The sequence below is a fragment of the Homo sapiens genome, chromosome 8 (genome assembly GCF_000001405.40).
Source record: "Homo sapiens chromosome 8, GRCh38.p14 Primary Assembly".
In the NCBI taxonomy this organism is placed as follows: domain Eukaryota; kingdom Metazoa; phylum Chordata; class Mammalia; order Primates; family Hominidae; genus Homo; species Homo sapiens.
The window spans coordinates 19595518-19608354 of record NC_000008.11 but is presented as its reverse complement, the minus strand read 5'-3'; the positions used below and the strand labels follow the sequence as shown (position 1 = coordinate 19608354).

General features: G+C 41.7%; 1 protein-coding gene across 57 annotated transcripts in view; it reads left to right on the top strand.

Annotated features, from left to right (window-relative positions):
* CSGALNACT1 (chondroitin sulfate N-acetylgalactosaminyltransferase 1) overlaps positions 1-12837 on the top strand; it is a 353748-nt gene that overhangs the window by 149554 nt on the left and 191357 nt on the right. For 39 of the 57 annotated variants that reach the window (NR_148898.2, NR_148897.2, NR_148900.2 and 36 more), the window contains one exon: positions 6490-6584. The gene's annotated coding sequence lies outside the window, so the exon portion shown is untranslated. The other 18 variants (NR_148901.2, NR_148902.2, XR_007060745.1 and 15 more) reach the window with 5 other exon arrangements.

The following is a 12837-nucleotide window of genomic DNA, read 5'->3' as shown; positions in this document are numbered from 1 at the left end:
ACCTCTGCCCTCCCCATACCGCTACTTCCATTGTTGTGTTGGAGTAGGTGTGTTGGTGTATAAGGTGTGGGAATGTATAATTTGTTATGTTGGGCTGCCCCGTATAGGTGTCCCTGTTGCCTGGGATCATGCATCCTAGACGAGCTATTCTTGATCATTGTATCATCTTTGGGGGTGAGTTTACTTTTCTGAATGAAGGGTTGTGCCTGCCTAACTCAGCCAGCTATGCGATGGAAAGGCCACAATGAGAGGTGACATTTGGCTAATGAAGTAACCATGGTTGTTCTATGATTGTTTAACTACTCTTCATCAGTTAGCCTGCTGAAATCTTTATACTCTGGAAGTCTACAACTTTAAGCATTATAGTAGTTCTCTTTTTAAGCTTCTCTTCCCTAGTCTTAACATCTAAGTCTCAGTGCTGTCTGCATTTTCATCATTAATCGGTGTAGCTTATTACCATCTGTAACATATCTTCCTACACACAGGGATTCTTGGCTAGGAGTGAGAAGACAACAGATAAAGATCATCCTCCCTCACTGAGAATCACAGACTTAGTCCAACCTCTTCATTTTACAGATTGGGAAGTGGAGACTCACAGGAGTTAAGAACTTGCCTAAGATCTCACAGTAACTCATTTAAGATGTAAAGCCAAATTTTGTGTTCTGGACAGGATTAAGTGCAGCTGATATCCCTGAAACACTGTTCAGGCCTCATTAGGCTCTGTGATGGCATCTAGCACCAGCTGAGCAGCTGTAGTGTCTAATAAGGGCAGGGCTAGCCCAGAAGGATTTACTGGAAAAGGGTGTCTAATAAAATGAACAATTGCATGTGGAGTGTAACTATGGCACTGCAGACCGTTTGCTGGAAAATAGCTCTTTTACGGAGGTCCATCAGCTGTCTGTATCTTCACTGATTGAGGAGAAAAATTGTGTTATTGGTCTCACAGCCAATGACAAACAGAAGCAATTTACTTTATTTTCAAGAGACTAGTTATAATGCGGATCCTCTCCAGCCTAAATTGGTCAGTGCTTTTTTATGCTATAATAGCTTATCATTTATATCTCCAGTTAGCTTGTGATGGGAATCACTTCATTGTCGATTATGTTAGTGGTTCCCATGTTGACAATGTGAAAACAGTTCAACTCCAGACCACGCAGGGTCCCTACTGGAGGCACTTGGTAAATCTTTTTTTTTTTTTTTGAGACGGAGTCTTGCTCTGTCGCCCAGGCTGGAGTGCCGTGGCGCGTTCTCAGCTCGCTGCACACTCTGCCTCCTGATTTCATGCCATTCTCCTGCCTCAGCCTCCAGAGTAGCTGGGACTACAGGCGCCTGCCACCATGCCCGGCTAATTTTTTGTATTTTTAGTACAGACAGGGTTTCCCCGTATTAGCCAGGATGATCTCGATCTCCTGACCTTGTGATCCACCCGTCTCCGCCTCCCAAAGTGCTGGGATTACAGGTGTGAGCCACCGTGCCCGGCTACACTTGGTAAATCTTTAAAGTATAAGGAAAATAATATTGGGTATCCTTTAAGGCAATAATGGACTGGTACCTTTTTAAAGAGACTTCAAGTAATTTAGTAGCATAATTTTGTTATCTGAGATTATCTCTATTTATTGAGGTAAGAAATTGAAGTGAAGAAAAGCAGGGTGACCCACTTGAGTGAAAGGATTAAAATGAAAAAGGAATTAAAAATAGATATGTTTCCGTTGAGTCTGCATCCTGTAGTCTTAAGACCAGGACACCAAGATCCTCTTTTTCATTTGACAAAATAACAGAAAAGTAATCTTTTAGGGGAAGAACTCATGACCTTTAAAATCAGTTGTGTTCTAAAACATACTATTTGCAGTAAAATTATTTAATGTAGAAGGAATGTGGTTAAGGATATTGTATAGTAACACACAATTTATCATGTGTGACATCCAAGAGGCCTTTCTTTTCTGAGACATATCTTGAGAAAGATGATAATTTTAGAAGTTGTCTGTATAGTTCCTGACCCTATCCCTGCTCTATCCTCCAGTGCCATAACATAAGGGACTTCACTGATTTAAAGAAATAAAAAAGTTACCATTAAGATTTAAATATAAATTTTGTGTATATATAAAATTAGCCACATATGCACAAAGAAGATCTCACTGGGAACTTCTAGTTGGCAGACACATATCTCATCTCGTGGTGTTTTTCATTTGTTATTTTAGGCATGCTGATGGTGAAGAGGGTTTTTAGCCTTTTTATTTTTCACATTTTGAGAATCAGTGTGTCTGACACAGACATGGTTTAGATGGTCTAAAGATTTAAAGTTTTAAATAGATGCAGGTGAGTAAGCCTTGGAACTTAAGGCAGCTGGATGGATATTTTCACACCATTGGGTCCATTGTGTTTTTGAAGCCCTTTGGACATTAAAATGTGGAGAACTTTCACTTATTAGTTGTACATTAAATAGGATGAATTCCTAGATGGTTAAAATATTATTGATCTCAATGTACTCATTTTCACCATTTTTAATTGCTCTTTTCAGTAGATGATTTTTGGTAGGCTTCTTTTAACATGATTAAAAGCAGGTTTATTTATAGAGGACTGCTAATTGATGTCTGCCAAACTCCATTTCTTTGGGGGTGGGGAAGGGTGGACTTCCCAATCTTTAGAGTCCCAACTGAAAAACTTGCAAAACCAAGTCTAGGATTTTTCCATGGATGGTTTCTCAGCCGCTCTCACGCACATCCTGCCTCCTCTTACTCGGTTCTTACTGTAACTGACACTGGTGATGACACATGAGCTCTTCCATAATGCTCACTCGGAATCCTCACTCTCTGTGCCAAGCTATGGAGAACATACTAGGCATTGGAGGACAGGGGAGGGGACTGAGACCCGGATACAAGAACGAGTGAATGAATGAATTTATTAATTATTTATTTATTGGAGACAGAGTCTCACTCTCTCCCCCAGGCTGGAGTGCAGTGGCACCGTCTCAGCTCACTGCGACCTCCACCTCCTAGATTCCAGTCATTCTCATGCCTCAGTCTCCTGAGTAGCTGGGATTACAGGTGCCTGCCACCATGCCCGGCTAATTTTTGTATTTTTAGTTGAGACGGGGTTTCACCATGTTGGCCAGGCTGACATAAGAATTTAGACAGAGGGATGTCATTGTCACTGTCTGAATTGGGCAAAGCAAGGTTTTGTAACTATTCTAACTGCAGTCGCTTTCCTGGATTTAGTTTTTGCTTTTGGCAAATACTTATTGTCTATTTCTTTGACATTCAGAAAGTGTGAGTTTTTGTCATTATGGTTTCTTATGAGGGAATTATAGGGGATCAGGGTGGGCTGTGTTCCTGAGGCCAACATGGCAGCCTTAGGTTGCTGGCAGCACATATACCTAGCTACCACTTCCATGCAGCTGTGTTATGTAAGCCCCATACTTACTTTTTTTTTTTTTTTTTTTTGAGACAGAGTCTTGCTCTGTCGCCCAGGCTGGAGGGCAGTGGCGCGATCTTGGCTCACTGCAAGCTCCGCCTCCCGGGTTCATGCCATTCTCCCGCCTCAACCTCCTGAGTAGCTGAGACTACAGGCACCTGCCATCGTGCGCGGCTAATTTTTTTTTTTTTTTTTTTTAAAGTAGAGACGGGGTTTCACTGTGTTAGCCAGGATGGTCTTGATCTCCTGACATTGTGATCTGCCCGCCTCGGCCTCCCAAAGTGCTGGGATTACACGCATGAGCCACCGTACCTGGCCGCCCCATACTTAATTTCAAAGAATCATACATGAAGGCTAAGTCCTGTAGGTGAAGGTGTGTTGCAAAGTCAACAGAGCAAAGGCTCGCTTTCCTTTGTAGAGTTTGGTTTTGAAAGTTAGAAAGATCCTGACTTCACCACGTATGAGCCTAGTAGGTTACTTAACACCTTTGAGCCTCATTTCTGTGTTTGTAAAGTGGAAATATTAATGCACATATCCATAGCATTGTTGTGGTTGGAATGAGTTCATGTGTAACATAGCTTGTGTGGTGTATGGACACATTATGGATGTGCTGTTGATGTTCCTTCTCTTTTCTTCCTATAGAGCGTCTGTCCAGTTGAACATACCCACTTCTCATTAGCTGGTAGTATACCTGCAGGTCACCTCCTGGAATTTTCCAAGATGCTATTCCCCTTCCACCCTGATTACCAAGGGGGTCTTGGCAGTGGGTTTGCCTTCTAGTCTCTTCATTTTTCAGTTACTAGCTTGAGATGACTCTTCTCTGGAGGAATATGATGCTTGGAACGGCTAAGGAGACATGTACTTTCCAGAGCTGAAGAGCAGACTTTTAATAAGTACCTTCACTGGAAAAAGAGGGAGGAGCTGAGCCATGCCGTGGCTCCGAACCTGCAGTTTGGTATTGCTAGTACCACACACTCCAGGGCTCGATGTATGTTACTGTGTGTAGATGAGAAAACTGTGAACAGTTCTTCAAGTTGCTGGAGTAAGAAAGTACAAATTAGATTATTAATGATTATGTGGAGGTACCAGCTGACAGTCTATTTGTTTTCATTGTTAAAACAAGTGTGGTTTTGGATTATGTAGATTTCCCCCCTTTTTACTTAGATGGCCAAGGGTATTCATGAAGGATATCCATAAAGACCATGCCAGTGATGGAGCCTCCAGATCTGCTGCCTGCAAGCTAAAACACAGAAAAGAAAATTTAAGTGGTTGGGAATCAGAATGTGAGATGGATTGGAAGCCAAATTATAAGCTTATTTCAACTCTTGGCCTGCAGGCGCTGAAGTAACATTATTTGTTGTCGGGGACAGAAAACAACTCAGATTCGGGTCCAAGTGATTATTCCACTTAGGCATTGCTGCGTTGCTGCCAACTGCAATTTGGTGTAGACATAGATTGATTGGCCAGGCAGAGGCGGAAGTGGGTGGTGGGAGCCGCGCAGGCACCGCAGTAGAGGACCGAGTTGGGGCCAAGAGCTGGCCCTAGGCAGTCGGCAACCCTCTCCAACAGTAAACCCACAGTGAACTGGGGTGAGAGTGGGTGGGTACAAAATAGACTCTAAACCTCTATAGTGATACACCTCACACTTCAGCTGACTTTGTTCATGTCAGTGAGTCAGAGAAAACCTTTGGAGAGGTGTTTGGAGGCCATCCCCATGGAGGAACTGGGGACCAGCTGTCTTTAGACCTGAGACTTAGCAATTTTCCTTTGGCGCTTTCTGGGCCTGTTTTTCTTTTCTTTCTTTCTTTCTACTTTTTTTTTTTTTTAATTCCTGCATGTGAAATGGGAGCAATTCTGTGTGTGTGTGTGTGTGTGTGTGTGTGTGTGTGTGTGTGTATACACACAGTAATAGCAAATTGTATGTTTGTATATATGAATATATTTGTGTATGTATGTATATATATATATAAAAATAGCAAATACATATATAGATGGATATTTGCTGTTATTCGAATAATAAAGACAGATGGGATAAAAATCCTGACAACTCGGGAAGGAGGACTGTGCCTTCGTTAATTGAAGACAACATTATTGACATGAAATTAACTGGAAGGGCTTAGTCCCTTTCCAGAGTATTTTCCCCTTGCCCTTCATTCCAGAGTATTTTGCTTGCACCTCTTTCCCATTCTGCTTTTATCTAGTTGACACATCGGTTTCCTCCATTGATATTCCTAAAAGGAAGGGACGGCTGGGGCCCGTTGTCACTCCCTGCAAGGCGCAATCTCCAGGCAGGGGCAGGGCAGGTCTGGGGGCTTCACGCCCCCCAGGGAGCGGGTCACCCGGTGGGACTCGCGCCCGCCCTCTCCTTGGGTGTCGTGTTCCCTGGGACGCGCCCACCGTTCTCCCTGGGGAGCGGGAGGCTCCAGGCGCGGCTGGGGCGCTGTGGGCAGATGCGCTCGGTCCTCACCAGCGGCGTTGTGCGGCGAACCCTGCGGTGCTTCGGGAAGGCGGTCGTTCCTCCCTGCTCCCACCGTTTTCCAGCGTGTGCGCTCTTACCTTCTCTGGGGAAAAAAGGAAATTTTTTATTTTTTAACATTTCATTTCATGAAACCGTTTTTTTTAAGTGGTGGCGCTGAACACAGTCCTTGCAGAGGGGGGCAGCACTTTCCCTCCTGACCCCAACCTGGAAACCCCAGTGTGACTTCAGCGCTGTCAGAGCATTGGAAGCAGAGCTGCGAGTTAGGAAGCGGCTCGCTGGCAGCTGGGCACGTTTCTTTCCTGCGAGATCGGCTTTTTTGATTTGCTCTTTTTCACATGAAAATGTTCAGCTTCATTTTTAGACACCTTTAGACATGGTTATCACTGTTTAAAGCCTTGATTTTTTTTTAAACAAATAGTTTGCATTTTATTCATTGAAACAGGGAGAGAACAAATACCATCCTGCTTTTTGGGGTAATACTTTCAGATGCATTGTATTTTATATACTAAGTGATTTAAAATGTTCCCATTTTGTAATACCACATACATTTAAGACATGGAAATTTACAAGGGTTGCCTTTTGTTTTTATTTTATTTTAGCTGCCTTCCTATTTCAAGGAAAGACGCCAAGGTAATTTTGACCCAGAGGAGCAATGATGTAGCCACCTCCTAACCTTCCCTTCTTGAACCCCCAGGTAAGTGAGCATTTTCACTCAAGAAACAAACCTTTGCATGGTCTGCTTTGTGTTCAATATTCTGGATGTGTTTGAAATGTATGAAATTTCATTCTACTGTCAATAGCTTGATTAGTAACAAGTTATTACTTCAAGAGAATGATACTTCTTCCAAAATAATACAATTACTTGGCTCCATTGAATCCTTTTCATTCACTTTTTAAAGGCTGTAACATCTACATCTACATCTAACTTTCCCAACTTTTTAAGGATTTATCTCTTCTCAGAGTGGCAAGTGACTTAAACCAATCATAGAGCTGGAAGAGCTACATCTTTTTGAAACAGTTCGCTTACATAGGGACATTTGTTCTCCCATTGGAAATTGGGACAGAATACTGAGCTTTTTAAAATAGTCACCCTGTCATCAAATAGGTACTCTAATTTTGACTTTGCTAGAAAATAATTATTTAAATACCATGGTTTTGGAAATTGAAGAATGAGCTTTCTTTCTGACATATGGTGTCTTAGAGGGACACTGTCTAGAGCTCTTTGAGAATAGTGCCCTTACGGATTGGAAGCTTGGTTTTAGTCCGGGGACAAATGAAAATCTCTGGAATGTTGTTTTAGTTCTGCTCTTGTAACCAGTAATTTTGAGTTTCTATGCAATAAGATGTTTTATTACATCTGATAAGACTAAACTTAAAAAATACAAAATAAAACAAGTACTGTAAAATATCATTAATGTTGACATGCGATGGTATGAAACAGGAAGCTGTATATATGGTTCCAAGCTTCAGCAGAGAGTCTTTTTTTTTTCTAGAAGTAATTCAATAGGCATAAAAATGAAAATAGGTAAGCTGCACTCAGCATATACATATCTTCAGAAAGCCCCCTTCACCTTCCTCCTTCATTTAACAAATGTCTATAGAGGTTTGCTTGATGGTTTTGCTTTTTTTTTTTTTCCAAAAACTTTTGTCACACTATTAAGATAAAATAATGGAAGCCAGAGTAGTTAATGATTTGATTTTGCATTAATGAACTGCCCTGTACTTAAATGAGGGTGTGTGGAGTTTCATAAAGAACTGTATTTCAGTTACTAACAATAGAAAAAATAAAAAAAACCTTGGCTGAAAGTTAATAATACAAACAAAAATAACTGAAGGAGAATTCCTCCCAAATCCTTTCCTAAGTAGAAAGTCAAGTGGTTAAGAGGCTTAAGTAATTCAGGGTCAACTTGAAGGGCGTATGGAACTGTCCTAATCTTGGGCCTTGTGATGTTTAATGTTTTTGAGAATTACTTGGATGATACAAAAGAGAGCAATGTCATTACAACCCCATGTAGACCATAATTAGTAAGACCTTGAGATAATGCCAGAAAACAGTCAAAATAAACTTTACAAAATAGAGAAGTAGGCTGGGTGCGGTGGCTCACTCCTATAATCCCAGCACTTTGGGAGACCGAAGCAGGTGGATCACAAGGTCAAGAGTTCGAGACCAGCCTGGCCAATATGGTGAAACCCCATCTCTACTGTAAATATAAAAATTAGCCAGGCATGGTGGTGCATACCTGTAACCCAGCTACTAGGGAAGATGAGGCAGAAGAATCGCTTGAACAGGGGAGGTGGAGGTTGCAGTGAGCCAAGATGACGCCATTGCACTCCAGCCTGGGCAACAGCAAACTCTGTCTCTAAATGAATGAATGAATGAATGAATGAATGGTGAGCAGCAATTGACCAAGAATGAACCATGGTGGAGCAAGCTCTATGAAGGATATGTTTAACACACAAGGCTATCCCTACTGCACAACTTATGGCCTAATGCTACTAAATGTTTGAATGGAACAATTAACTCCCCTTGCTGGGATCCTGTGATTGCCAAGCATGCACTGGGTGTGGGGTAGGTTTGTCTGCCCAAAAAGAAAGGAAACAACTCATTTGCTGTCTTCTCAATGTGCACGTTGGTTTCTTTCAAGTCTGGTGAAGTTCTGCTGCTGAAGGATGTTCAAGCCCTGAGTCTATAAAAGTAAGGAGCAGTTCTGGGAAAACAAGGGCTTCCCAGGTTCCCCAAGTGTTCCCTGTCCTGCTACTGTGGTAGCTTTAACTTTAGAGCAGAAACATCCTATAACTTTGCATTTGCCCAAGTAGACCTTAATCAGCTTTGGACTACTTATTTATTTATTCTTTCTTTCCTTCTTTCCTTCCTCCTTTCCTTTCTCTCTCTTTCTTTCTTTCCCTTTCCTTCTTTCTTTCCTTCTTTTTCTTTCTTTTCTTTCTTTCTTTCTTTCTTTCTTTCTTTCTTTCTTTCTTTCTTTCTTTCTTTTTCTTTCTTTCTTTCTTTTCTTTTTCTTTTTCTTTCTTCCTTTCCTTCCTTCCTTCCTTTCTTTCCTTTTTCCTTGGCCTCCCAAAGTGCTGGGATTACAGGTGTGAGCCACCATGCTTGGCCTCTGCTCACAATTTTTACGGCCACCTTGTATCTTGTCACTGCTCACTGATATATTTCCTGCCTCTCCCTACCACGAAATGGAACCACATTTCCAAATCCTTAATTGCTTTCCTCCTATCAAAGAAAAGATGTGCTGTTGGCTCTCCATGCTCCTGTCCCCTGATGCTAGCTCTCTGTGCTCCCCCTCCCCTGACACTAGCTCTCTGTGCTCCCCCTCCCCGACCTGTGCTTTTGTCTCCACCTGTTCCTGTCTCCCACCTCTGGCCCTTCTGCTCACTCCTCCCCAGCTGTCACTCCTTGAAGCTGTGTTGGTGTCCACACTCTCTCTACCTAGCATACTTTCTTCTCATCACTGACCAGGGAGCTTCAAACCTCACCTCAATGGTAGTGTGTTCCTGTACTCTAGCTTGAGGACCAGTGCCTGGCTCTTATAAGGCACCAAACAAAAGAATGAATGAGCGAGTGAATGAATGGAAAAGTGAATAAAGGGATGTCTCCTACCTGAAGATGGCTCCACTTAGTCCTCTGGCACCACCCACATTCTTCTTATGGGCACGTGTCATTGCATTGTCATTATTGTTTGCGCAGTCGTCTCCTGAACTCACCCCTGAGCAGGGCGCAGAACTTTCCTTTCCCATTTTGGTGATCCAGCTCCTTCTGGAGCATCTGGGGGTAAAAACTGTTTGTAGACACATAAGCTTATAGGCCCTTTGCAGTTCCGCTAGTCTGTGAAGCATGACTAGCAAATAACATAAAATAGTAGCTGACGCAATCATTTTTGGAAGGAAGCAGATGTTATAAGTAAATAATAATATAAAACTCTAATGTACTAACTGGGCAAGTTGCTCCTATTTGAAAAGCCAGAGAAAAGTAACAGTTTGGATTTTATAAAGTGGCCTTCCTTTGGATGTGTTTTAGACTTTTAAAATATTTTCGTTGAATGGAATGAGGGGTGCCATAAAGTCTGTAAGCTTTTAATCAGTGTCACCTTTCACTGCTTCAATTTTAATTTATACTCCTGGGCCACCATTGGTTTTCTGCAGATGAGGCTACTCCAGGAGGTTCATACTGGCACATGAATGGGTATCCGGTGATGCATGCCTTCCAGTAGGTTTTTATTTCCTGTTGATTGACCCTTAATCAGGTGTTGTTGCTGTCTTTCCCATTCTGTTTTGAGCTCTGCTATTGGGATTCCCTTTTCATTGAGTTGGGTTCTACCTCCAAGCCTGTGCTTCACCTTCTCTCCTCCATGTCTTATTCTGCTGTCCCATATCTGCAGTGCCTTCCCCTTCCTCTTGACCCTCCAGATTCTCACTCCATGCCTGAGACTTATCTTGGGAGGCAGGTAAGGGGGGAGCCTTTGCTGAGCCCCAGGCTGGGATGGGGCTGGGCCATTGTGTGCCTCTCTCTATTGCCTTATTTTCCCTATTGTTCATAATTATTTACTGGTTAGATGTTTGCCCTTTGGCCATCTGGCCCTCAAACTAGGCATGGTCTCTGCATTTTTAGCATCTAGCATATGTATGTTCCTACTTCACAAACAAAGGTTTGAAGGAGTTGCTGGTGTCTGAAGACCCTCATCAGAAGCTAGCAATGTTATCATCATTTGCTGCACATTTGACGGTGTACCAGCCTTTCCCCTACTTCCTTTTAACATCTGTATTTTCTCTGCTGCCTTGGAGGCAAGGGATCGGACTCCGGCACTTTGCCTGCTTAGTTAAATTAATTGTTTAAAAATAAGTGAAGGCTGAGTGCTGTGGCTCACACCTGTAATCGGAACACTCTGGGAGGTGAGGTGGGAGGATCACTTGAGCTCAGGAGTTCAAGGCCAGCCTGGGAAACATAGTGAGAAGACCCCATCTCTACAAAAATAAATAAATAAATAAAATTAGCTAGGCTTGGTGGCTCATGCCTGTAGTCCCAGCTACTTGGGAGCAAAGGCGGGAGGATTGCTTGAGCCCAGGAGACTGAGTCTGCAGTGAGCTATGATCACATCACTGCACTCTAGCTTGGGTGACACAGCAAGACCTCCTCTCCAAAAAAAAAAAAAAAAAAAAAAAAAAAGAAAGAAGATAGAGGCAGCCCCAACCCAATATCCATTAACAGATGAATGGATACACGAAATGCAGTATGTATATCCATACAATGGAATATTTTTCAGCCTTAAAAAGGAGAGAAATTCTGACACCTACTAAAATATGGATGCAGTTTGAGACATGATGCTTTGTGAAATTAGCCAGTCGCAGTATGACAAATACTGTGTGATTCCACTAATATGTGGTCCCTAGAGTGGTCACATTTATAGAGACAGAAAATAGAATGAGAGGTGTCAGGGGCTGTGGGAGGCAAGAATGGGCACTTGTTTAATGGGTACGGAGTTACAGTTATGCAAGATGAAAAAGATGTGGAGTTTGGTTGCATAACAGTGAATGAATTTAGCAGTAGAAAACTGTGACTGTATTTAATGCTACTGGACTGTATACTTAAAAATGGTTAAGATGGTAAATTTCATTACATGAATTTTACAATTAAAAATAAAAAGTCAAAGTGTCTATTTTTATAATGATTATCCTTTAAAAGTAAAAATAATTGAAAGGAATTAGATTTTTTAGAGTTCATGGTTTGAGCTTTATTTTTCCTTTGCTTAGATTTTTAAATCACTTTTTATTCCAAAATGTGTTATGTATGAAAAAATGTATTTACAGTGGTAAGATCTTTGGGACTTAATTTTAGACTTTGTTGTCTTTTTTTTTTTTCTTACAATTTGTGGCCTATATTTGCAGTTAAAACATGATTCAGAATTACTCTCTTTCTCACTTGTTTTTCTTCAGCAAAGATAATAGGATCTTTTTGCTTATCAGAAATACTTGTATGATACTTAAAAATTACTTTTGTGATTAAGAGCAGAAATGTTTGTTCTGTCACAAGCAGAGGGCGTGACACACTCCAGGGTTTGATTTGATTGTTCATAAGAAGCCAACTGCTTTAGGCTTTTTCATTTTCCCCCTCATCACACTAACAGTCCTTTCTTGTGGAAAATCATGACTCTAAAACTGTCAATATCACACTGGTGTCTGAAAGAATGCAATTTCAGAATGTTCAGCTGACACATAGGAAGTAGCTCTCTTTTCAGTCAGTTTCTGACCCACAATGTGATACCTTTCCTGAGGAACTGAAAATGAGGCTGGGCACGGTGGCTCACACCTATAATCTCAACACTCTGGAAGGCCAAGGCAGACAAATTGCTTGAGCTCAGGAGTTCAAGACCAACCGAGGCAACATGACAAGACCCCTGTCTCTATAAAAATATTTTTAAAAATTAGCTCGGTGTGGTGGCATGTGCCTGTAGTCACAGCCACTTGGGAGGCTAGAGTCGGAGGATCCCTTGAGCCAGAAAGGTTGAGACTGTAGTGAGCTGAGATCACATCACTGGACTATAGCCTGGGTGACAGAGTGAGACCCTGTCTCAAAAAAAAAAAAAAAAAAAATACATTAACTGAAAATGAGAAAGGGAGGCAAGAATCTGATGGAGTTGTGCAGAGAAGTCTGGAATAAGAGAGGGAGTGAAAATTAGAGTGGAGGGTAGACAAAGGAAAGAATTATAACCTCTGGAAACAAACAGTTCAATTGTTACTTAAATTTTTGTTTTTGAAACAGGGTCCTGCCTTGGCCTCCCAAAGTGCTGGGATTACAGGTGTGAGCCACCATGTCTGGCCAGATTTTTTTTTTTAACATTACAAATATGATCATATAGTCAAGTCCCCCAGAGAAAAGAAAATTCATCTCTTCCACTGGGCACATATCTAATCCAAGCTGATACTTTAATTTTTTC